Source organism: Homo sapiens, chromosome X (assembly GCF_000001405.40).
Source record: "Homo sapiens chromosome X, GRCh38.p14 Primary Assembly".
Taxonomy (NCBI): domain Eukaryota; kingdom Metazoa; phylum Chordata; class Mammalia; order Primates; family Hominidae; genus Homo; species Homo sapiens.
Genome location: NC_000023.11, coordinates 24873983 through 24900248, shown reverse-complemented (window position 1 = coordinate 24900248; position 26266 = coordinate 24873983). Strand labels below are relative to the sequence as shown.

The window sequence follows — 26266 nt, the reverse complement described above, 5'->3', positions numbered from 1 at the left end:
TATTTCAGACCCCCTTCAGTCAGTGTTCAAGGCTGTATAACAGCTTATTGGTCACCGATGAGTACTTCAAACATCAAGGCTAACAAATATCAAATTTGAGCAGAAAACAACTCCTGCTTTGAACGTAAAAAACCCACATATTCCTACCCAAAGACAAATGTCCATCTTCCACTAAAACAATAACTTGGAAAATACATTAAACACTTTGCATAAGCTCTGAATAATTTATCATACACAAAAACCAATCAGCAGGTGAACCAAGGGGGGAAATTCTCTTATAGGACACAAAAAACATTAGGTAACTTAAAAACATTTTTAGTTAAAAAGCTAAAAATTAAGAGCAAAGAAAATAAAGTAAAAAAGAACACCCAAATGACTAATAAAAATTCCATTAAGAAGGCATAAGACGGCAGGAAAGGTCTCGTGCCAACAGGTTAATACAGAGGTGAGGCGCACTATCCACTAAGATTCTGGGCTCAAAGCAATACGCCTCACTTTTAGGAAACATACCAGCAGAAATAACGAGTGTATTATCCTGTGGTTGCTTAGAGATGACTTAACGAGTTCCTGAGAATGGGCCATTAGCTAGCATTTGCTTTTGCTATTAAAGCTGGATACTGTTTTCACCCCTTCTCTCATCTCCCGCAGCTTAGCACCTGTCTTTGTTTGGGAGTGACATCTATTTCTTTTTTTTCCACCAGGAATTCGGTGCATTTTTAGGCTTGAGTGGCTTAGGAGCAAACCAGCTGTGAAATTGTTTCTTGAGATACTGCCCTCTTCATAACATTTGCGCAAGACCTTAATAAAAGAAATGGCCTGCTGCCCTCCCTGTCCCTGGCCAATTGCACCCATGAAATATATTTCAGTAATGCAATTTTTTTGGGGTTGTTGAAACAATTGCCGCTATAACTGTAAAACATGGCTAGATTGCTTCTAAACTACTTTCGAAAAGTAAGTGCTTGCAAGAGTCAGTTCTCAATATACTTTTACCCTTGGAAAACAGAAGAAAGTCACGATGAATAAAAAAATATATAAAGCTTATCTAATTTATAGCACACGGATCTTAATAGCAGCATTAATGTGGCAATAAAACAATTGGGAGAAAAGGTTCTTAGTAGGAAAAGGTCCGCAGCAGGAAACCCACAGAGTTTGTCACAGTCCAACAATAAGAGCAATTCCTATTGTGAGGAGTGGGAAATCGGCTTGATATGATTACATTTAAATATTAAAGGTTGGCATATTGGTGCCCTCTGGGAACTCAGTATTGTCCTTCAGGGCAGTTTTCAAAGGGGACAGGCTCCAGAGATTTACCTGAGATCCCATGGGTACCAGATGACAAAAAGAGAAGACAATTAGCATATCAGTTCTTCACCACTCCTCTTTTGAATCATTAAAAGTGAAACAATGAAATGCGCTGAAGTTAGAATTCCAGATTTAAAAAAAATGGGGGTAGAATTCAAGTCTTTGAAGGGTTAAGTTCTATTATGAACACATTTCTGCAGCTGCAGTAAATTCCAAACAGTTTTGATGAAGCTTAACAAGAACGTTCCAATTTTAGTTAATTTTAATGGGCTCAGATGAAAAAGGAAGGCGATCTGCATCTCAAGGTTGCATAATAAGTCAATATATGTAAATCTTTACAAGGCAAACACAGTTGGAAACAAAGACATTTAGCTGAAGCGGTATTTGATGTCTCCACTTTTTTGTGCGCATAATTTCTTCCCATTGAAAGCTATAATTGCCTGCCATTTGAAGATATTCATGCTCAATTTTTGAAATTAATTTCAATTGGGAAAATGTAGAAATGTCACCTCCATTGAAAGGGATTTGATTTCAATTATCCTTGCTCAAAGGACTGTGATTTCCAAATACACTTAAGCAAAATTATGACAAGAATTTTTGTTCCAGAAATTTAGTGTTTAAAGACCGATTAGGCGATAAATGGACTCGCTTTGAATTGAAGTGAATGCACCCGTTTCCATCTGAAAGGCACTCAATTATCCTTGATTGCTCCTGTTATAATGTATCAAATAGAGATACCTGCTATTGCTGTAATTTGTGTGAAAATTAACATGCTGCAATTTCCACTGGAAAAAAGGAAGCCCTAATGGGCATCTGAACATACATCAATAAAAGCCAAAGAGAAAAAAATTTAATTTACTGAAAATATTACAAATTGCACCTGTATATAACTCTGACCAATTACAACACAATCAGACAGGGGTGGCATTACTCCCCCATTTAATCTGGGCACAATAATAGTCAATCTCTTTCAGCCCACCATAAAAGTGGGTTGATAAGCATTGCTGTCAATAAAGCTGTGAAGCCAGAATTGAGTAAGGACAAGGTTGGGGTGAAGAAGTTAATGTTTTATTCAGCAAGCAGTTTAAGCTGCCAACTCAAAAGGGACACATTAGAGGGTATCGGTGACAGGAAAATGTCCTCATGGTTTTGCTAGTTCCCAAGGCACTTGCCAAACAAATACTGTGCATAAACACAAGAAGGATCTAAGAAGGGAGAGGAATAGGTGGGAAAGAGTAAGGAACTGAAAGGGGGCTAGACTGAACATCCCTGGAACATCTCTGCATTGGTCTAGGTAGAGGGGCCAAGAAGATGTGGTCTCTGGGGAGAAAGAAAAGCCCTTCATTTTCTTCAGAAACAAGAACTGGAAATGGAAACAAGCTTTTTGCTCTTTTTTCGTTTGTAGACGTGGGCTCTAACTAAGATTCATTCATTCAACAAACATCACTTGGGTATGCACTGAGTTCCAGGCACTGGATCTCCCTGAGGTGAACGAACTGCACACCTGGCCCTTGGGGAGTCCAGTGATGAGTGGGGATAGCAGATGCATCCCTTCCCTCTGCTGAGGTGGGGGTTGGTGGGGGGGGGGGCAGTGAAGAGAAGAGGAAGGCATTTGTTCATCTTCCTGTCCAGAACAGCCCCCCACTTCTGTGCCCTATGCCTGTTTTCCTCCCAAAGTCCACTCTCCTTTGAGGGGCCTTTTCTGATGCTGTAAGCCTTCTATTTTACAAATGAGGAACTTGAGGTCCCAAAAGGTAAAATGACTTCTCTAAGATTACATAGGTCTCTAGATTTCCAGGGCCATATTTACACCTCACCAATAAAGAGCATATATAATCACATTTTACTAGCACATGACCCTTCTCATCCAATAGCATCATGGCTCTTATACTATCTTCTGTTTCTGTACTCGATTCACACAGGACAGACAGCCCATCAGCAAAGTGAAGTGCTCCCTGGAATTCCAACACAGCTCCCAAATGCACTCTTCAAACTCTTCGAACCGTATCAAGGGCATGTTAAGCACCTTGCACTTAAATTAGGCTTCCCAGTCTCTCGTCTTACGAATCTAGCAAATACCTTCAATAGCTAATTAAAATGAAAGCTTCTGCCTATGGTAGTAAAGGGGTACTATTTTATAACTGTTTTCATCTTCTAGATGCCTTGCCTTCTATACTCTTTAACAGCCATGAAAAGTCTACATGTCATTCTCTGTACCCAACCAATCACAGCCATTGCTACATGTATTTGTTCCACTCTAAAAGGTGTCCTTTTTAAAATCTGCCTTCAAATTCTACTCTAAGGCATCTGTGCTAGATACCCTCAATGTCCAGGGATGTCCAATCTTTTAGCTTCCCTGAGCCATATTGGAAGAAGAAGAATTGTCTTGGGCCACACATAAAATACACTAACAACAGCTGATGAGCTAAAAACAAAACAAAACAGCAAAATCGCAAAAAAACAAAACAAAACAAAACAAAAACCCAAAAACCAAAAACCAAAACAAAAAAGAAACCTCATGTTTTAAGAAAGTTTACAAATTTGAGTTGGGCTGCATTCAAAGCCGTCCTGGGCCACATGCAGCCCATGGGCTGTGGGTTGGACAGGTTACTGTAGTCCAAAGTTTCTCAACCTTGACATTATTGACTTTGGGGGCTGCATCATTCTTTAGCTCTGGAAGCTATCCTGTGTACTGCAAGATGTTTAGCAGCATCCCTGGCCTCTACTCAAGAGATGCCAGCGGCACCTCCCTCCCCACTCCAGCTACAACCCCCAGTTATGACAACCAAAAATGTTCCCTGGGGGGCAAAACTGCCCCCAGTTAAGGATCAAGGCTCTCATCTAATAATCACCATCCTCACCTCTCTATTATCTTTCCTACCTTATTGATTAGGGAGCACTGGGATTACAAAGCTGTTGCAGCCCTTTTTGTCCCTTTGGTCAATGGAGTGTGGAAAATTTGTATTTCCCTAAGTCTTCCATTAGACTACAGGCCCATTAGAAGTAGGGCTTCTTCCCCTTGTGGAAAATTACAAACTAGAAGCAAAGATAATTAGAAGAATCCTACACAAAGCATACTGATTAAAATGGAGCAATGTCCATCTAGAAGAAGGCATCTATCCACCGTTTTGTGCATAAATGCACTTCAACATTTTAACCAATACTTTGGAGAAGACAAAAGAGAGATCTTTTATCTTCTCCAAGAACTGCAGAAGCCAAATGGCTGGGTACATGGCAGAATCAGGATTCAAAAATCCCACAATGGAACAGTGATGGGCTGAGGCCAGCAAGGGGAGATTTGACAGGGTTCATTGGAAGGTCTCTGTTGCATAGAGTGCTGGTTGGTCCCCAATACCCAGTCTACTCTTCCTTCTTTAGTAACAAAAAGAGCAATTATTTCCACATGACTAATTTCTAGCCCACGAAATGCAAGCAAGAGTATTGAATGGAACTTCTAGAAAGGCTGCATAAAGAACTGACAAGGCTGGGAAGCACATCCTTTGGATCCTTCAGCCTTTTCTCCATCTTGTACCCTTTGATGGCTTCAGAAGCGTGTGCAGTCTCCTGGGAACACATCATGACTTTGAGAATGACAGAAAAGAGCAGGAAGAGACTATGCCCTGATGACACTGTGGAGCCACAAGAGCAATCCTGGATAGCCCAAACCTGGATTTCTTTCACATGATAAGGAATGAATGTTTCTTAGAGAATTAAATGTCTGTTCTTTTGAAGCTACTGTTAGTTTTGGTCTCCATTACTTTTAGCTCAGTGCAATTCCTACCTGTAATGGGTTGAATTGTGTTCCTAAAAAGATATGTTCAAGTCCTAACCCCGAGTTCCTATGAATGTGGCCTTATTAGAAAATAGGGGCGGGGCTGGGCACAGTGGCTCATGCTTGTAATCTCAGCATTTTGGGAGGTCAAGGCAGGCAGATCGCTTGAGCCCAGGATTTCAAGACCTGCCTGGGCAACATGGCAAAGCCCAGTTTCTACAAAAAATATAAAAATTAGCCAGGTATGGTGGCACATGCCTGTAATCCCAGATACTTGGGAGGATCACTTAAGCCCAGGAGGTCGAGGCTTCAGTGAGCTGTGACTGTGCCACTACACTCTAGACTAGGTGATACAGTCAGACTCTGTCTCACAAAAAAAAAAAAAAGAAAAGAAAAGAAAAGAAAGAAAATAGAGTATTGGTACAGGAAATCACATTAAGACGAAGTTACAGTGAATTAGGCTGGGCCTTAGTCCAATATGAGACTGGTGTCCTTATAAGAAAAAGAGAAAGAGACACACAGGGAAGAAGACTGCCATGTGACAACAGAAGCGGAGATTGAAGTGATGTATCTACAAGCCAAGGATTAGCAGATGCTAGAAAAGGCAAGGAAGGATTCCCCGTAAATTTCAGAGGGAAAATGGCCCCGCCAACACTTGGATTTCAGACATCTAGCCTCCAGAGCTGTAATACATTTCTATTACTTTAAGTCACCTAGTTTGTAGTACTTTGTTAATATACTACCTACTGAAGTCTTACACTTAGGTCTAAATAAGCCATTTGGGTCCAAAAAATCCATGATAAGACATGGCTTAGCAGATGCATGTACAAAAAAAATTGCTAGGCATTTTAATTTAGAGAATGCTCAAAACGAAAAACACTGCAAGTATGGATGCCAAGAAAGTTAACACAACTCTGAACAGACTTAACAGAAATTTACTACCTAGAAAAGGTAGCAGTGACAGGTTTCTTCTGCTCCATACTAGTGCTAGTGAGAGCACCTAAAATACTGCACGCAGTTTTGGGCTCCTCAATTTATCAAGACACAAAGTCTTTACTAAGATCATTATTCTGAAAGCAGAGCTCTAGAGAAACGAAGACTCAGGAATATTGGGTCTAGAAGGGAACACTCAGGAAGACAGCTACTTTTATATGTCTAAGAGGCTCTCATAACATGGGCATTGAATAGGTGCTGAATAAGTGCTTACTGAAGGCAGAGACAGAAAAAGGGATCAGTCTAGCTTTGTGTGGTACCATTCAGCTGAGGTAGGACCAATGAGTGAGCTACAGAAAAAAAAAATTCAGGCCAAATGTAAGACCTGTCTACTTAATTAAAAATAAACTTTAAAAGTGTACTGACAAAGCAATCCAAATGTCCATCAATGGATGAATAAACACATTGTGGCATATCTATTCAATGGAATATTATTTGGCCATAAAAAAGAATGAAGTACTAATACATGCTACAACACAGATGAACTTCAAAAATGTTATGCGAGGTGAAAGATGTCAGACACAAAAGGTTACATATCGTATAATTTCATTTACAGAAAATATTCAAAGTAGGTACAATCCATAGTGACAACAGGGGCTAGAAGGAGGGGGAAATGGGGAGGGACTGCTTAATAGATATGGAATTTTCTTTGGGGTGATGAAAATGTTTTGGAACTAGATACTGGTGGTAGCCACACAGCATTGTGAATGTACTAAATGCCACTGCATGGTTCACTTTAAAACACTTAATTTTATGTTATGTCAATTATACCCCAATTAAAAAAAAGTAAATTGAAAAAGGTTGCTAGCACCCATGTGGCAGTAAGAGAAGCTGTAAATAGAATTTAGTAATCTCTTTGCATCAAATATGCATGTCAAAATAACAAAGGAGAGCTCCAAAAGACCCTTCATGGTAAACCACCATTCCCTACTGGAGAATAACCAATGACTAGGTTTAAGACTTTAGGTCATAGTTCTAAGGTTCTCTTCCTACACGGACTCATGCTTACTGCCTTAAGAGACCACAATTATTTTCATGTTTTCTTCTGAAAAAAGAAACTTCCCCAGGTAGCTTGGCAACATTCTCACTGTCCCTAACCTACTCATCAAATCAACAATTTGTTCAGCCATAGCCATTTTGAGATGGTAACATATAATGATTATAAGTTCATTATTTCTCCTCTCCCTTTAAGGACAGAAGTCCTACAATGGTACACATTATGTGTTCTGTTATAATAGACTTTAGCAATTTTACAAGTGAGGAAAATGTGAGAAACACTAGGGGGTTTCTCAAAGTAGGACTAGAAGTCATTTCACTGCTTTCCTTATAAGTGACCTTCAAGAAATTTAGTTGATTAAATAATTGAATAAAGGGCTCCACTATACTGCTCCTGCCCCAGGGACTATACAGTTTCGACAGATTATTTCTACCATGATCGTGAGAGTCACATACAGACATTTTCTCAGCTCTACATCAAGAATGAATACGTTAATGAGAAAAAGTTTAATTTGGTTTGAAATCCCAGTTCGATAATGAGAGATTAATAATAATAACAACAACAAAACCAGAAAGCTTTATTTTTGGTGAATTACTAATACAGAATCCTCTGTGGAGGGATTCCATACACATCCATACACATTTCACCATATTAAAAAGTCAAAACCACATTCTTAAAACAAAGAGATACTAAAATATTTATTGCCTAACTTGGGTAAGTCTCATCTCTATCACCAGTATGATAGAGTTCGATTTTTAAAAATAACATCAACTTTTATTTTAGATTCAGAGGGTACGTGTACATGTTTGTTACATGGGTATATTGTGTGACGCTGAGGTTTGGCACATGAATGATCCTGTCAAAGAGGGTTCTATTTACTTAGTAACTTAAACATGCATCAAAATTTTCACTCTCGTATTTAAATGCACCTCTTATATAGCAAAAAATACTCAGGGAATATATGTCTTAAGCAGCAACTTGTATACTGGGAATTTCCATGAGCCTAAAAAACTTAACTGTGAGATATATATATATATATGAATGAAATATCTGAGAAGAGAGAAGATACACGTGTAAAACCCTGAGAAAAAAACTGTCCCGGCTTTCTTCTTCTAACTCTGGCAATGCGAGCCAGCAGAAGAGCCAGCTTTCCTACTCCAAGTCAATTCTGGAAAGTACTCAAGTCAACTGCAACCCAGGACTAAGTGAGAATAGGTTTATTATGTGCAGATAAGACTGGCACAGTAAGAGGCCAGTGCTTTACCATCAAACTTGAACAACATATTTAAAGCTCCCACTAGTCTAGCACTAGGAATGTCTAGTGTTCTGTCCAAATGGGCATTTATAAATGCCTATTTTTGCCCACAGATATCAACTTTATAGAATTTTATATAATCTGTGTAATGTTAAAATAGTTTTATAAATAAAGAAATGTTCTGTTCATTAACATGTTTCTAGCACCTAGCAAAGTGCCTAGGATGTAGTTGCAGTTGTTTAATAAATAATTATTAAATGAAAGTAAGGTATGATTGAGACAGAGCAACTGAGAACTTGAGAACCAGATGAGTATAATCCTGCAGAATAGATACTTTGGAAAACCCTCTGATGATTACAATAATTCTGTCCATTGCACAACTGTTTTTTGAACTTCTCTAGAACTATCTTTGGAAAAATGCATTTTTCCCTCCTACTAGAAAAGCCCAGGAACCTCACAAATAGAATTAAGAAATTCCTCGCCCATTATTAGCAACTCAAAATCGAGTACATAAGAGTGTTCTGAGTCCCACTGTCAAGGTCCCTGTCAGGAATGGCTAAGGAAAGTATCACCAACCAGCCTGCTCTGAAACTGAGTAACTCCATAGGGTCATGTCCTGAGCAGCACCGGAACCAGAGGAGCTAATCTATGAAAGCTTCTCCTTGGGAAGAGTAGCTGATAACCTTGAGAAACACATGTCTAAAACGCTGCAGTTTTGAGAAGGACAAGGATATGAAGAAAAAAACAAGTCACTTTGAAATCTAAAAAGATTAATAAATGTTAAAAGATAACCTGATATACTAAACCACTATCAACATCATCCTCGAAATGTATCGGTCTAATAGCTTAACGATCTAAGATTATAGACTAACCTTTTACCTTCTCTTACCAAGAATGCAATCATAAAACTGGTTGATTTTCTAAGAAGTAATTTGATTTTCATTGAACTTAACTTGATGAGTTAGATATTTAAAAAGTCTCAAAGGCAGCATCAGTTCATGAAGCAAGGTGATTCCCCTAAAGCCTACAACCGGATTGATGAGTCACACTAAATACATACACTTTTGTTCTCTCTCTGCACCTGCTGATGCAAGTCTTGAGACAAGAATGACGTAAAAATAATTCAATGACAGCTAATTCTAACATTCCACATTTTAAAAAAAGTTGCTAATCATCAAAGGTATACCAAAAAAAGGGCAAGGAACTTTTTATGCTGATCAAATTAGTTTTAAAAAATAAATGATAGTGTCCAAATGTTAGAAAGGCTATGGTAAAACTGGTATGTTCATAAAGTACTGGTATACAGTATAAGTTGGGAAAGCCCATTAGGAAAGCAATTTGGCAATATAAATCATGACCATATTGTATTTATGCAATGTATGTATGTATTGTTGATAAGAATTTATCCTAAATGTCAAATAAAGAAAAAATCATTTAAGCAGAAAAATATTCATCACAAAATTTCAAGTAGAGATATTGAAAATAGCCTAAAATGCCCAATGAAAGGTATAGTTAAATTTGTGTTTAAAATTTTTGGTACTGGAGGCCAGGTGTTGTGGCTCATGCCTGTAATCCCAGCACTTTGGGAGGCCGAGACAGGTGGATCACAAGGTCAGGAGTTCAAGACCAGTCTGGCCAACATGGTGAAACCCTATCTCTACTAAAAATACAAAAACTAGCCAGGCATGGTGGCACGCGCCTGTAGTCCCAGCTACTCGGGAGGCGAAGGCAGGAGAATTGCTTGAACCTGGGAGGCAGAGGTTGCAGTGAGCCAAGATCGCACCATTGCATTCCAGCCTGGGCAACAGAGTAAGACTCTGTCTCAAAAAAAAAAAAAAAAATCGTACTGAAAATGAAGTACAACACAGAAAAAATGCTTGACAAAAGATAAATGTGATACAAGTATATATCTTCATTGTGATGGCAACCATGTAAAAAAATACATATGGATATGCAAAAGAACAACTGAATACACAACGATGGTAGCTATTTGCAGTTCCTGACTAGTTGCCAAATTTTGTGAAATGATATATTATCCTAAAATTAAGTCATTATTATTTTAAAATAAAATATTTTCAGCTGGGCACATGCCTGTAGTCCCAGCTACTCAGGAGGCTGAAGCAGGAGGATTACTTGAGCCTACAAATTCAAGGCTGTAGTGAGCCATGATTGCGCCTGTGAATAGCCATTGCATTCCAGCCTGGACAACATAGCAGGACTCCATTTCTAAAACTGTGTGTACATATTTTTCTAAAACTAGTCTGTGTATCAACCCTTTTCAGCAGGAAAATTTGAAGTCAAAACTTGATTATAGGCCTGCCTCTGCATTTAAGAAGTAAGTAAATAAACAACAGGTTCCCAAGTCTCACCTTCTTCTCACTAAAAACCTTACAAATCTTCAGGCTAGACGAATTTGGAAAGTGAGGCACATTATGGACCTGTCCTAGTGAGACAGATTGCACATTATCATATTATAGGTTCTGAAAAGATCTGCAATAAACTTGTTTAATTTTAGCTAGCCCAGCATCTGCTAGATATACTTGATCACAAAACCCTCTTTGCTCAAAGAACCTGCAAACTTCTCACTACAGTTTGGAAAATGCTGTTTGGGTCGAAGATGCTCAAAGGGGTCAACAGAGGGAAGGCATCTTAATTACCAGAGAAGTGTTTCCAGATGCCATGCTTTCTAGTTGGGAGTCATTAATGATAGTATGTCTTACACCTCAGGTGTGTATATTAAGGTAGAAAAATGGCTTGAGTGGCCGGGTGCGGTGGCTCACGTCTGTAATCCCAGCACTTTGGGAGGCTGAAGCAGGCAGATCACCTGAGGCCAGGACTCCGAGATGAGCCTGGCCAACATGGTAAAACCCTGTCTCTACTAAAAATACAAAAATTAGCCAGGTGTGGTGGCATACGCCTGTAGTCCCAGCTACTCGGGAGGCTGAGGCAGGAAAATCGCTTGAACATGGGAAGCGGAGATTGCAGTGAGCCGAGATCCCGCCACTGCACTCCAGCCTGGGCGACAGAGCTAGACTCCATCTCAAAAAGACAAAACAGGCTGGGTGCAGTGACTCATGCCTGTAATCCCAGCACTTTGGGAGACCGAGGTGGGCGGATCACAAGGTCAAGAGATCAAGACCATCCTGGCCAACATGGTGAAACTCCATCTCTACTAAAAATAGAAAAATTAGCTGGGCGCAGTGGCACGCGCCTGTAGTCCCAAGCTACTCGGTAGGCTGAGGTTGCAGTGAGCTGAGATCGTGCCACTGCACTCCAGCCTGGCAACAGAGCAAGACTCCGTCAAAAAAAAAAAAAAAAAAAAAAAAAAACAAGCAAACAAAAAACAAAGAAAAATGGCTTCAGAACTACTCATCTATGCAGCTACTTATAAACAATTAATCCAGCAGAGGGGACCAAAAACCCCACAAAATAAACCATTCAGGGTACAGAATTGGGAGGATTTCTGGCTCTTACAAATGGGATTCTGATCAAGCCCAAAGACGATAGCAGTTTCTAGAATGGAATGGCCATGTCTTCTTTTGTAATTATGTAGTGGCAACCAAAGAAATCTATAACTCATATGAGAATTAGTCAGTTTCCCTTTTAAATATAAATATAGTATTGCTCATGACATGTGAAAAAAAGAAAGCATGTATCTTTCTGAAATCTGTATTTTTTAAAAATAAGATTAGTATATGCATATGGTAGTAGGGCATCTTCATAGGGCAAATACTCAGTATCTACTTCTCAAAGCAAGCAGCCCTCTACCCTCTTCTACATGGTTCTTTAGCATTATGAGACTGTTACCTCTGGTTGAAGTGTAGCTTTCATGCAGGCTGGGCAAAGAGGCCCAGTTCGGGAGAATTGAAGGGGAAGGTGACGAGTTCGATTGCGACAGGTTGGCTCTTCACATATCAACCAGCCCTGGAGAGAAGGGAAAACTTCAGACTTATCACCATCGACAAATACAAGTAATAAACCTTTTTTTGGTTATCAAGATAGACTCATTTTATTTAATCTTTTCTCAGAAATTCTGACATAACTCTAGTTATCTCTCTCTCCTGACATGTTAATTAGATAGATCTATGCCCCAAACTTAGAAGTTAGGAAAACCATTAAGTTAAAAAAAAAAAAAAGAAAATCACATGAGATGTTATTTTTTTTTCTTAAAAGAAACACCCTTCCTCACTCCAATACATCAAAACTTCCCAACAAAAACTTCTACTACAGGCAGAATGTAAACCAATGTGTTTTAGTTCATTAGTAAAGACCATTACCAAAGAATGCACCACATACATGTATAACCTTCCCAATAGCTGAGTGACTATTGGCTAGTTACTTAATTGCTGTGCTGTTTCCTTCTCTGTAAAATGGATACCACAGTACTTACCGTATACCGTTGTTGCAATGATGGAACACATTTAGAGTGTCTAGGATTATATTTGGCATAAAAGAAACACTTAATAAATATAATCAATTATTTCATGCAAACAAAAATAGATTCTCTTATATGTGCTTTCTAGAGACATAAAACTAGCTTCAATGTTTTCAAGGACAACTTCAACTGATCACTATTTTCCAGAGGTTTGAAATACTACAGCTATCGCTCACTTCTCTGTCTTTTAGAACCCTCTTCTCACCTTCCTTCTTCAGTTACTCTCCCTTGCTGATCTTGTTTGAATTTTCTCATAGTGATGTGATAAGAATATACCTAAGACCTTAAATCAGTCTTATGTTATAAAACGTTATCTGTTAAACAAAGGAGGTAAGACATCACAAATGGGGTCAAAGTTCACCTGTTCATACTAAGGCACCAAGGTCTGTGGGCTTTCGTGCTACATGCATTGCCACAGAGGCGTAAGTATAAGGCAAATGTTAGAGTGAGGTGCTGGGGTATAAAGGTGAACACGGTATGCTGCTGCTCCCTTGTCTTATGGTGTTCTCACCTGTGGAGCCCCCAGTAGGGACCTGACTATCTGTAGATCTTGGAGCATTTTGAGACATGGCAACTTCTGAACCGGTCTTGAAAAATGAGTGGAAGTTTGGTAAGTAGAGAAGGCAGAAAAGACAACTTACACAGAAAGAACAATGTATGTCAAAGAATGCAGGCCAGAAAGAGCTATGCTGAGTTATCATTAATAAAGGAATCAATAACACGCATAACCACATATCCTATTTCTAGACTGAACAACTTGTTGGTCTTTTCCCCTTAGATAAGAGCAGTATATACATGAGTGTTGGTTCATTATGTCAGGTACTTTAGTCTGCCACTTAGTAATGTTTCCATGTGGTGTTAATCCAAAGCTGAGGGATGCCCTCACTTGCTGCTGTGCCGTTTGACCTCATTCCTCGGAATAGGCTTTTCTGGAAGTAGCTATAACAAAACTCAGGGGAAAGCACCAAGAATCAGTTCTTCTAGCTCCATTTAAGACTATCACAAAAAGGGAAAGTGTATTATAGATCTGTATGAATAAAAAAATTATGCTACCTTTAAAGAATGTAAAATTCATCTAGTCAATACACCCACAGTAAGCATTATTCCTACCTTCATTCAAGGCTAAACTATTTTAAAATTTAATATGAGCTTTTCAAGTACAGGGAGGGTCTCAATGAGCCCTTAATGAAACTTGTAATATATGCCCAGAATTACATTAAATATTGTGAAGAATAGGCAAAAGGGCCCCAGGTACAGTTTTAGGAAATTACAATCTAAACAGGAAAGCAAGGTCCACACACATAAAGACTATAAAAGCAATTCAGTATGGCTTGGCTTTAAGAACCAAGTTGCGTGGTACCAACTATAAATGCTAACAATACAGAGAAGGGACAGATTAGTGTCTGAGATGAACTACTACTACCACAGCAAAAGATCATGAACCAATCAGTGTTTTGGAGTCACAGGCAGCTGTTTAATTTTGAGGGTGTATTACAACATCTTCTTGATTTAGAGAGACATTTATATTCACGTTTTACTATTTCTGAAACTCAGATGCATTTATAATGGACATGTACAGCTTAATAATGTACTTTAGTTTCCTTCAAAAAAGCTGTTAAGTCAAGAGTGCAGCTCACAATCAGCTCCTTAGAATTAAAGAAACAAGATACTGGCCGGGCGCAGTGGTTCACGCCTGTAATCCCAGCACTTTGGGAGGCCGAGGCGGGCAGATCACGAGGTCAGGAGATGGAGACCATCCTGGCTAACACGGTGAAACCCCGTCTCTACTAAAAATACAAAAAAATAGCCGAGTGTGGTGGCACATGCCTGTAGTTCCAGCTACTCGGGAGGCTGACTGCTTGAACCCGGGAGACGGAGGTTGCAGTGAGCCAAGATTGCACCACTGCACTCCTGCCTGGGTGACACAACAAGACTCCATCTCAAAAAAAAAGAGAGAAGGAGGGAGGGAGAGAGAGAGAAACAAGATACTTCGGTTTAGTCTGTTCTAGGCATGGGAGATACAGTGGGGAATAGTGGAGCTGACAGCAAGAACAGGTATTACATTTTAAATGTAGCCTATAAACACTAAAGGTAAGACTAGTTGTTTTCTTGAAGTACCCATTTAGGTATATTAATAAAGGAAACAAACCATACAGGACTGGACCACTCCTTTATCATTCATTGGGTTTGTTACTTTAAATTTGGTATCTGAGGCTTTACATGCTTTGGAATATGTAGTTAGTTAACACTGCCAACCATAGTTGTAATTCATCCAATTCTAAACAAAACTAAAAAAAATAAGCAGACAGGTAATAACTATCAGGTTTTGAGATAAGAAATTATTCAGTTCCAAAATATAACCTGGATATTAAAATTATTTAATTTTTAAAATATAATGTTCAAAAACTATAGAGTTCTTTTCAGATGTTTTTGAAACTTGATTCTGTCAATTTACTACGACTTCACAACTCCCTGGGGGAGCTGCCAACCACGGACATGCTAAGTTATCATCTCACCTGTTTTTAAAGCAAGCACCTAACTCTGACAGAGGTACTAACTAAATGTCCTTTCAAATCATATGGAAAACAGATAATATAATTTGTCTAGACTTCCTACCAGTTATAATTAACATTAAGGAGGTCTTTTTTCCTTTGTCACCTCTCTATTCAGTGCTTATTTGGGTTTGTTTGTACTTACTATCTGTTAATCTCCCTTTACAAATGACAACAATAACTAGTGCTATTATGCATGGAAATTAAACATGCTGATAACTGTGTGAAGGGAACTGGGGCTGAAAAAAATATTAGAAGCCTGTAACTCTTTATGCTTCTTGTTTTATTTTGATAATTAAGCTTTTGGTCATGGTGTATTTTAAACAAAACTCTTCTATGTAGGAAATAGGCCCTAATCATATTAAATATATGCTTTGCTTCAATTCAATTTTGTAAAGTACATTTTATTTAACCCCTTGTTCCCCCAACAAATGCCAACCGGCTAGCTAAATCTAACCTTCAAGGAACATTTGTGCTGTTAAAAAATAAATATAGGCTGGGCATGGTGACTTATGCCTGTAATCCCAGCACTTTGGGAGGCCGAGGCAGGTGGATTGCCTGAGCTCAGGAGTTCAAGACCAGCGTCGGCAACATGGCAAAACCCTGTCTCTACCAAAAATACAAAAATTAGCTGGGAGTGGTGGCACGCACCTACGGTCACAGTTACTCGGGAGGCTGAGATGGGAAGATGGCTGGAGCCCAGGAAGTCAAGGCTGCAGTGAGCTGTAATTATGTCACAGCACTCCAGCCAGGGTGACAGAGTGAGATCCTGTCTCAAAAAAATTTTTTTTAATAAAAATAAATAAATATAACAGGTATTTGAAAATATTCCATGATGATGCAAATCTTATAAGATCTCATACTGAATTTTGTTTCTTAAAAATGACAAAAACAAAGCAAATGAAAATAATAATATTGCATAAGTTCACTCTGATTGATCACTCACAAAGACAAAACTTAACTTACTTTCATTCCTCATTTTCAGAAATAACATATAGCCTGTACAGCCCAAGGCTACATTGACAAGTAAACAGAAGAGAACATTTTTAATAAAAGTGTAGTTCCTTGGAACTACTCAACCTATAAAAAGATTTGGATTTTAATAAAAACCTCTAGAATCACTTTAAGGATGTCTGCTATCCAAATACGTAATTTTATTACGTAATGCCGCACACAAATTATCATAACCAATAGCAATAAGGTCAATAAATTTTTAGTTGCCTGGCTTAGCCACATTTATAAATAGAAAGTTCAAAAGAGGTGAAGTCAGCCTGTCCAATAGCAAAACAAACCTTTACCAAAATATGCCAAGCTCTATGACTTGTTGCTTTAATCTCAGCATCACTAATTCCTTAAAATCATTGTGTATGAAATTGTGTCAAATGTTGATTGGTTCTGATTACTAAATTATATTTTTGAGGCCTCAACTAAAATGGCTTCTTCTGCACATGTTAAAAAGGGATCAATTTCCACTTGTAACTGAGGCGTTCCTAGTAGTTGCACCTTAAACACAAACTGTTATTCATTTGTGTACATTTGTATTTGTAGAAGGCTATACACACAGAAATCATCTAGATCTGAAACTGTAGAGCATAGGAGGTCCTCAAAAATATCTTTTGAAGAAACTATCAACAGAGTAAACAGACAACTCACAGAATGGGAGAAAATATTTGCAAACTATGCATCTGACAAAGGTCTAATGTCCAGAATCTATAAGGAACTTAAACAACTTAACATGTGAAAACCAAATAACCCCATTAAAAAGTGAGCAAAGGACATGAACAGATACTTCTCAAAAGACATATAAGCAGCCAACAAGCATACGAAAAAATGCTTATCACTAATCATCAGAGAGATGCAAATCAAAACCACAATAGGATACCATCTCACACTAGTCAGAATGGCTATTATTAAAAAGACAAAAAATAACAGATGCTGGCAAGGCTGCAGAGAAATGGGAACGCTTATACACTGTTGGTGGGAATGTAAATCAGTTCAGCCACTGTGGTAAGCAGTTTGGAGACTTCTCAAAGAACTTAAAAAAGAGCTACCATTCAACCCAGGAACTGCATTACTGAGTATATACCCAAAGGAAGATAAACTGTTCTACAAAAAAGACACATGCACTCATATGTTCATTGCAGCACTATTCATGATAGACATGGAATCAACCTAGGTGCCCATCAACAATGGACTGGATAAAGAAAATGTGATACACACACACACACACACACACACACACACACACACACACACACCATGGAATATATAGTATGCAGCCATAAAAAAGAATGAGATCATGTTCTTTGCAGCAACACGGATGCAGCTGGAGGCCATCATGCTAAGCAGATTAATGCAGGAACAGAAAACCAAATACCACATGTTCTCACTTATAAGTGGGAGCTAAACATTGGGTACACATGAACATAAAGGTGGGAACAGATTCTGGGACTACTAAAGCAGGGAGGGAAGCAAGGGCTGAAAAACTACCTCTTGGGTACTATGCTCACTACCTGGGTGACAGGATTATTTGTACCCCAAACCTCAGTGTCATGCAATATACCCATGTAACAAACCTGCACGTGTGCCCCCTAAATCTAAAATAAAAGTTGGAGTTATATTTTTAAAAGTCTTCTGAATAAATGAACAGAAGCAATCAAATAAAAATGTAGAGGAGCAAGTTTATAAAAAACAATAAGGAAAATAACAATGCATAGTAGTTTGCATACTTGAGTCAAATACATAGTGGGCCCTTCCCCTCTCATTTCCAATCAGTCACCAAGTTTGTCCACTGGTCTTTCCTTTATAGTCCCATTACCACCAACCTCATCAAAGCCAGACCTCAGACTGTTCTATTTCAGTAGCCTCCTCCCTGGTTTCCCTGACTCCGTTCTCTCTTATATCCAATGCAAAGGGCTCTCCACTCCCATCTCCCAATCACACACCTTCCACAAACAATTAAGAACAAATTCATTGGCCTGGCTTTCAAATCCTTACAACCTCATCCCACTCCCCTGCCCTTTCTCATCATTCTCTTACACAAACTTACTGCCCAATCAGATTGGTTTTCTCACTGTACTCACCATATTTTGCCTGTTTTCACCTCCTTATCATTATACAGGCTGGAGAACCTCTGCCTAAAAGGTCGATTCCTTGATCATCAGTTCCATTCGTCTTTTGTGAAATTTTCCCGATCCACAGGGATTTCTTCCTTATTCCACCTAACGCTGAACACACACTGCGGTGCACTGTCTCTTAACCATCTTATTTTACCATCTTGTTTTGCCTACCTACATGGATGGTCGGTCCCCTGGGGAACAATTTGTTTTGGAGCTGGTACTGTCCTCCCCAGTCTCTACCACAAAGGTTCACAATCAACGAAGAATACAGAATTGAGGTTATGAAAAACTGCATGAGTAGGGTTTCTTTCCTCCCATTTACTAACAGATAATTTTGTGCAACTCACTGAACCTCTTTCTGAGCCTCAGTTTCCTCATCTATAAAACAGGAGGTAATATTTACTCTATTAGTGTTGTTCAGGGGATCAAATAAGAAAACTCACAAAAATGTTGAGTAAATGTAAAATATTGTTATTATCCTGTCTCTGGTATTGGGGAACATTATTGCTAAGCTATAGCTGACAGTGCACTATTAAAAATGCACCATTTTAACCAGGAAAGAGCCTGGTCAGTGTCCATCTGGTGTTATTACAAAACGCAGAACTAAAATAATGGATAAACAGTAAGATTAGGTGGTGCTGCTTCTCAATTTGAATGCAAAATATTACAACTGTGTAGTCAACATAAGTGAAATTTTCGTATTTTTTTCCTGATCAAACTAAAATATAGTGAAGATATAGACGGCAAAACAGGCAGCAGGGGAAGAGGAGGCTGTCTTTGCTTTATTTCCGGATTCACGGATTTTCAAGAGACAGCATGGTTCTGCAGTGACGTACGATTTAGTTTAAATTGTAATGGCTCACCAGGAATGCAGTGACAGGGTCACAGGACGGGGTCTGGCAGCATGCATGCTTTGAGTTCATCAGATTATTACTAGTTTTCAATAATGGCCATTAACCACCCCTATACCAAAACTAGATGTACTCTGAGAACATCAGACTCTCTTTTCACCCTAAACCATTTATAAATGTTCCGGGGTTCCCTTGCAGGCACATTTTTCTGCCACAGAATTATCCCCAGTGGCAAAAAATGGGTCTCCTTATAGATAGTGCACAGTATGGGCCCACAGCTGCTTTTGAAGAATGACATGTTGTGATTTGGAATTTCCAGAAATATCAAAAAACAAATTGCTTTCTGACCCACATTTGTACCCAAAACTGGGAGAAAATTTCCCTAAGATCTCCAGGGGAAGTTTTAACAGGAATATAATTTTGCTTTTAAAGTTAAATCTTCTACACTGCAGCATGCTGGCATGTCAAAGAGTGATTATTAAGTCCCAGAAAGGTACTAGGGTAGGAGATGAAAGAGTAAATCAGGAAAAATAAATACATAAACTAACTATTCACCGAAGTTAATACAAGAATATTTTGAACAAAATTATCAAAACAGAAGTAGAAAGTGCCTCATCGGTCAATGTAAGAATCTTAAATATTATTAAAATTGATTTTTTAAGTAAGACATCTCTTTAAATGAACAGTCATATGTCATTTCATCCAAGTTATTTGAAACTTATTGATCTTATCATTTGTACAAGGACCAGACTCTGCCATCAGTTTGCTGAAAGGATAATGGAGCACTCCCAAACTGTTATGATAGGTTGGATGCAAACAGTGGTCCTCATTTAAACACACAGAATAGCACTACAAGTGGACAAATTCCAGCCTCAGCGATTGTATATTACATGATAAATTAGCGACTTGGTCTGCTTTGCCTCACATCAAATCCAATACAGAGCCTTGCTATTTTAATTTGCAATCAGAGCTTGAGCATCAGAAGATGTACCTGAGGTACATTAAAGAGCCCCCATGCAAGCCATCTTCTCTCGTTATACTGTGAGCACAGAAGGCCAACAATTACCAGCAATTGTATTTTACCCCTAGAGGACAATACCAGAACAGTTAAAACTGTCTCCATGCAAGCAACCAGGGAAAATATACTTAAAAGACTTTATATGGAAAATTACATTTTGGGGAAAAAAGTTCAATAGAGGACATGTATCTTTCTGTATGGGCAACTAAAAAACCTCTCTTAGTATATTCAAGTCTATTCTGTAAAATACTCTCCCTATTCATCCAACTCAAAAGCAAGCTACATTCCTAGGCTATAATAGGTCACAACTAAGTACACAGTACCTTGCTTCAGGAATAATTTTGCTTTGTCTGTCAACTGTCAACAAAACACAAAGAGCTCATGCAACCCAGTCATGTACTGTGGATGTTAGAGATCTAACAAAATACAAATAACAAGAATACAAGATTTTCTAGCCACCCTGCTTTCATTTTATATGAGAAACCGAAAGCATTTTCCTTTCCACATTCCATTAATCTCTATTATATTACAAATCTTTTCAGAAAATACTTTTTTCCCCCTATATGAAGCTACAAGTGACTTGGGGATGTAACATTCCAACTGTAATGAATGTCTGACTTTCTAACATGAATGATAATAAATGGATGTGTCAGGTAAGGCACATAGTCATTTCAACAAGGGAAAGGAGGAAAGAATCAAATAGAATGAGATGGTAAAATGGTTACTCTGGTGCTTATATTAATGTTTTAGTGATGAAACCTCTAAGAAAAATTGTTCATTACTTCCAACGCCATTCCTGCCTGTCAAGTCTTCACTTCTGAAAAAAACCACCACCTTAGCTATGTACACACAATAATGAATAAACTTCAAAAGTGAACTCAAGGTTTGGTTTCATCACTATATGCACAAAAAAAAGACTGGAAGGAAATACTCTACAATGCTATCACTAGTAATCTCTGTGGTTTCTTCTTCTATTTCTGTATTTTCAAAATTTTCTACAACAAGTGTATATTGTTCTTATAATCAGAATTATTAACGAGGAGACAGTTTTGCCAAGAGCTTGCAATATAATTAAATCACTAACACAGCTGAAAAATATTCTGAGCTATACCATGTGTATGCTTGCTGCCAAGATAAATTTTCAGGGAATGTGCTTATGGGGAAAGAAAGGGCACATGAAAAAAAATAGTCTGTTCTTAAAAAAAATTTTTTTTTTTTTTTTTACTAAATCTAAAATTTCAAAAATAGGTCCATTTAATCACATAAGCAATTCTCAATGAGAAAGTGACAGGGTATGTATTAGTAGTATTAGTATCATTTGTTAAATTAAGCCATTCACTAAAATGCACCCAGTCTTTTATGGAATATGATTTGAATACCTTTCTTTATGATGGTGGATCTCTGAAGGTAGGTAATAAATCAGTTTTAAAGAAAGGTGCCTTGTTCCCCACGCCCTCTCCCCTGCCTTTATTCAGTGTGCACACAGATCAACTCAGATGTCCTGGGGTAAGAATCAAATAAAACAAAATTCAATTGGAATGGCATGCATGCTTAAAACCTTCTTACCAGAAGAGTTTTTCTTTGCTCAAGTCTAGCTAAAAGTAATTTTTATTGTTTGTTTGCTCAGAGACTAGTATTTATTGGTATGGTTTCAAGTGATATGCCTTTGGGTAGTGAACGACAAATGTTAAAACTGAACTATAGCTACTACTGCCTCAAAGGACATCTTAAAATCAGAATGGAGTTCAAACTATCACCAGGCAATGTTTGTTCATTTAACTTTAATTATTTTCTCCTTGAGAATGGTACTAATGAAACTGAATATCTTTCATGGTTTCGAAGGGCCGTTTGAATAGTCTGTAAACAGAACTAAGGGTAGACAAGAGATCTGGCTGAGTCAGGAGGTTGCTAGGTGATGTAGAATGTAAACCCACAAACTTGTTAAGGTTTGCTTTGCTTTCATGCCACTTTCACACACTCTCAAAAGTTTTGAGAATTGATTTTTCAGGTGGTCACTAAAAAAAAAACAAAAAAAAAAACAAAAAAAAACTCCCTCCCTCCAAAATTCACTCCCTGCAGATGTTCTGCCAGATTCAGAAGAGAAGAAATCCATCTAACCTTTGGCTGCAACATGGGAAACTTTTGGTTTTACATGAATGTAGGATTATATATTTTCTGAATGGCCATAATTTAAGAAACAATTGCAAGGTAGATTTTAACATTCAGAGAGACACTTCTAATCTCTTATCTAACTTAAAACTAAAATTTCTCTTCAGAAAAAAAGCATGATCACAGTTGGGAGATCTGGGGCACAAAAACCAAAACCCTGTGGCAAACGCCTTAGCACAAATCATCATGGTGACAAACCTTTCAGTTTAGCCACTTGTCTTTACTCTTCTGGCCTGCTCCAAGACTCACTGCCTGTGAGGCTTCTCCCTCAGGCCCCCTCCTCCAGCCTCCTTTTTAAGTAGCTGATCAGAGATTGTCCAGTAAGAGCACTTTATTAGATCATCAGCCAGAGGGGTTCACAAGTACTGAGAGCAATGGGCTCAAATGCGGCACATCAGTTTTAATAGACCAGGGGCTACTAGTAAACTGCAGATACTGCTGAGAACTTTCCATGCACTGAACTCTTGAAAAAGCACCGTCTCTCCAGCTTAAATGCAGCTGCCTCTTTCAATGCCGCAAATGGGTAAATTTGACAAAAAAGCCACCATTAAGACTACATGAAAGGCTCAAGACAACATCCTTTCAATGCTTTGTACTTCAGTAATCAGATGTACTTACTCACCCCCTCCCCCAAACCCGATCAAGAACTATTTCTGAATGGTAGGAAATAATTCCACTTTGTACATCTTTTAGTTAATCAAGACTTTCTATTCAGCAATTTGACCTTTTGTTCAAAACAGGATTATCAGTTTTTTCGCCAGTTACCAAGGGCGACTCGCATGGTGAACATAATTGCAATAATTTGCAAAACACCATGGCAACCCACATTACAACTAGGTAAATACTGGGCTTTTGTGCTACATTGTTATTTTCAGAGATGCTGAAGTCAAAGAACGAATGACAAATGAACACAAAATTTATATTTGCTTTGTCTCAAAAGAGAAGAAAATTGATAACAAGAATTGGGGGGAAACCGACTACAGCTGTAATTTCTAACTTGATTAATTAGGATGGTAACAGTCCTTAACAGTATATTCAACAAACAGCCCTGACTTCGTCTCTCCACCCACCTCTCTCCATACCACTACCACTATCCCCCCCCCCGACCCCAGACAAATTTTTTCAGCTTAGAGAACAAACATCCCCCATTTGCTCTTTTCTTCAACTTAATGGAATCCTTAATTGCAGAATATTGTTCTCATGCTCTTCATGGCAATGAAAATGAGAGAAAGGAGGAGAGTGCCAGGGCAGACAGGGAGCTACAGTCATTTTTTTTTCCTGCCTCTTTTGGACACCCCAGGCCCAATGATGAGACGGCATTTTCCTGGAATCAGCAGCTGTTTCATAGCAGACAATAAAGTAAAAACTATTTGGCTTTGCAGAAAAGCCACTTCTTTCCTCTTGGCAACACAAGGTAAGTCTACATGCCGAGATGAAGTTTCATAATTTAAATGCCAGAACATAAGATGAGAAAATAATGCTAACAATAAAAAAGCATACATTTGTCTTGTAAAGAAATTATTAACTGTAGTACTGTCCCGAAAGCTGTTGAAATGCATATGCTTGCTATTTGAGGAAGATGTTCAATATCACCAATGTGCTGAAAACCACTTTATACTCAGAGATCCCAATTCACAAAACAATCTAAAAATATAAACTGAGTATTCAGAAATTAATATAAAAATCAACATATTTTAGTAAACACCACCTCAAAAATAATCTTTTCAATAATAAATACGATTAGAAAAGTTTTATCAGAATTTTTTACTCAGGTATAAAAGGTAGGTTCTATTTTATAGTAAAGGAGCAGTTTTTTTCTAAGAGGCACAAATTCTGTCATAATACTTAGCTTTTGGAAATTATCAAAGCTGACTTTCTCATGCAAGATGGAATATTTCAGGATGAGAAAAGAAAAATACACACAGAAAGGGCTTGCAGAAGTTATACTGCCGAGATCTCGAGAGAGAAGCAGCTCCAGATGCATTCTAAACACAGCCCAGTTTGCTTCCCTTCATCTGTCTTATAACAAGCAAGAGCAAAAAGAGAAGTCTCTGAAACGATCTGCATATTTCCCTTAACTTTTGAAAAATCAAATGGACCTGATACTATAATGGGTCCATTCTTATTTTGTCAGGGCTGAAGACTCCCTGACAGATCTCTAAGATTCAGCATAGAGAAATCACAATTTAACATTCTTCCGAATATGCCTCCGAAATTATAGATACTGTGATTTCTCTCAAAGAGTAGAAATCAAAAGGATATATGACACATTAACTCCTTCTCAGTCAGTGATAACTTCTTTACACTTTGAAAATATATTTTATTTTCTGGCTTAGTTCACTCCAAATTTACCATACCTGTATTAAGTGCATTCCTATCAAAAGTCTGAATGTTAAGAAGAAATATAACCCTTAATGCCAAATTAAAGGGCTGAACAAGCCTTTGGTACTTTTTGATCAGATAGAATTGATGATAGATCTTGAAATGGGCCTAAAATCCCCATCACACTTGAACTCAAGAAACCCTTACATATAAATATTTTATAATCTACCTGGAATTTCTTCACTTATAACATTTTACCTTGTATATTCCTCCCCCCTTCTTTTGTGGCTTCTGTTCCAATGTGATTTTTTTCTTTTCTCCTGCTTTTCCTCCCTTTTCGCCTTTTTTCTTTGCCAACTGGCTGAGATGCTTGACATATATTTGTTTAGAAAGGCTCATCTACGAGTGATTGCAACATCCAACCTTCTATAATGTTAATAAATTACCCAAATCACTAAATCAGGAATGGCAAACACTTAGCAGGTATATTGCAGTTCCGTTTCCAACTCTGTCCTCAAGACCACTATAGGATGGAAGCTGGCACTCAATATAAAACCCATCTGTTAACCCTGTTCCAAATACTTCTTGCTCCAGAATTCTTAACTCTGGTGGCACACTGGAATCACCAGGGCAGCGTTACAACACAGCGCCACCCCCAGAGTGTCTGATTCAGTAGGTCCTGGGTGGGGCCTGAGAATTTGCATCTCTAACAAGTTCCCAGGTGATACTGCCGCTGCTGGTTTGGGACCTCAGTTGGAGAACATCAGCCTGGGATACGAAATGAGCTTTGGGATGTTAAGAAGTTCCCCCAAGTGATTCTAATGTGCAGCTAAGGTTGAGAACCTTATTATTCTCATTCTCTCTCTTGTTCAAAAAGAACTACCGGTGATTATTTTCTGAACAATGAACTTCATAAACAGAATTGTACTTAAAAAATTATCTCTCAACTCTTTTTCTCTTTCTACATTTACTCTTTCTTTAGATATTATTTTGGTGGTTCACTCTTGCTCTTCCAAGTTTTCCATGCAGCACTAGAATTATCAAAGCCTCAAATCTGACTTAATTGTATTACAAGAACTAAATGGTTTACATCATGTACATAGCTTAATAACATTCTTCCTTTAAACAAATAAACAACCTCAATCTGACAATAAAATATAGTTCTTAAAATATGTGCTTTACTTAGAATCACAGAATTTTAGGAGTGCTGGTGAAAACAGTGTCTATGGAAAGCAACCACAATTACACCCTTGACTTTGACAAGTAATAAGAAATGATATATTTAAACCCTAAATTTTAAAATTGGAAGAGACTTTAGAGCTCTTGTCTAATCTTTTGTGTTGTATGTGAGGAAAATGAGACCCAGAAGAAAGTACGTTTTTTGCACACTGTCACACAGCATGTAGACTGAACTTCTAGTCCAGTGCTTTTTACATACTACATCTATGCTACTTAATATATGAGCCAGTCGCTGTATGTGG

At 38.1% G+C, this 26266-nt stretch overlaps 1 protein-coding gene across 10 annotated transcripts in view, besides 2 other annotated features; it reads right to left on the bottom strand.

Moving 5' to 3' along the window:
• Positions 1–26266, bottom strand: part of POLA1 (DNA polymerase alpha 1, catalytic subunit) — a 303069-nt gene that overhangs the window by 96738 nt on the left and 180065 nt on the right. For all 10 annotated transcript variants that reach the window (NR_165483.1, NR_165482.1, NM_001440806.1 and 7 more), the window contains one exon: positions 12127–12243. Coding sequence is in view for 8 of the 10 variants with exons in the window: in NM_001440806.1 (NP_001427735.1) it covers positions 12127–12243 (117 nt within the window). In the remaining 2 variants the exon portion in view is untranslated. The remainder of the gene's footprint in view (positions 1–12126; positions 12244–26266) is intronic.
• Positions 94–2984: an enhancer, noted in NCBI's record as "VISTA enhancer hs119". NCBI's record gives its function as "enhancer in: forebrain[5/6]" and the evidence as "EXISTENCE:transgenic organism evidence [ECO:0001131][PMID:17130149]".
• Positions 22282–24031: an enhancer, noted in NCBI's record as "VISTA enhancer hs118". NCBI's record gives its function as "enhancer in: midbrain (mesencephalon)[3/8]" and the evidence as "EXISTENCE:transgenic organism evidence [ECO:0001131][PMID:17130149]".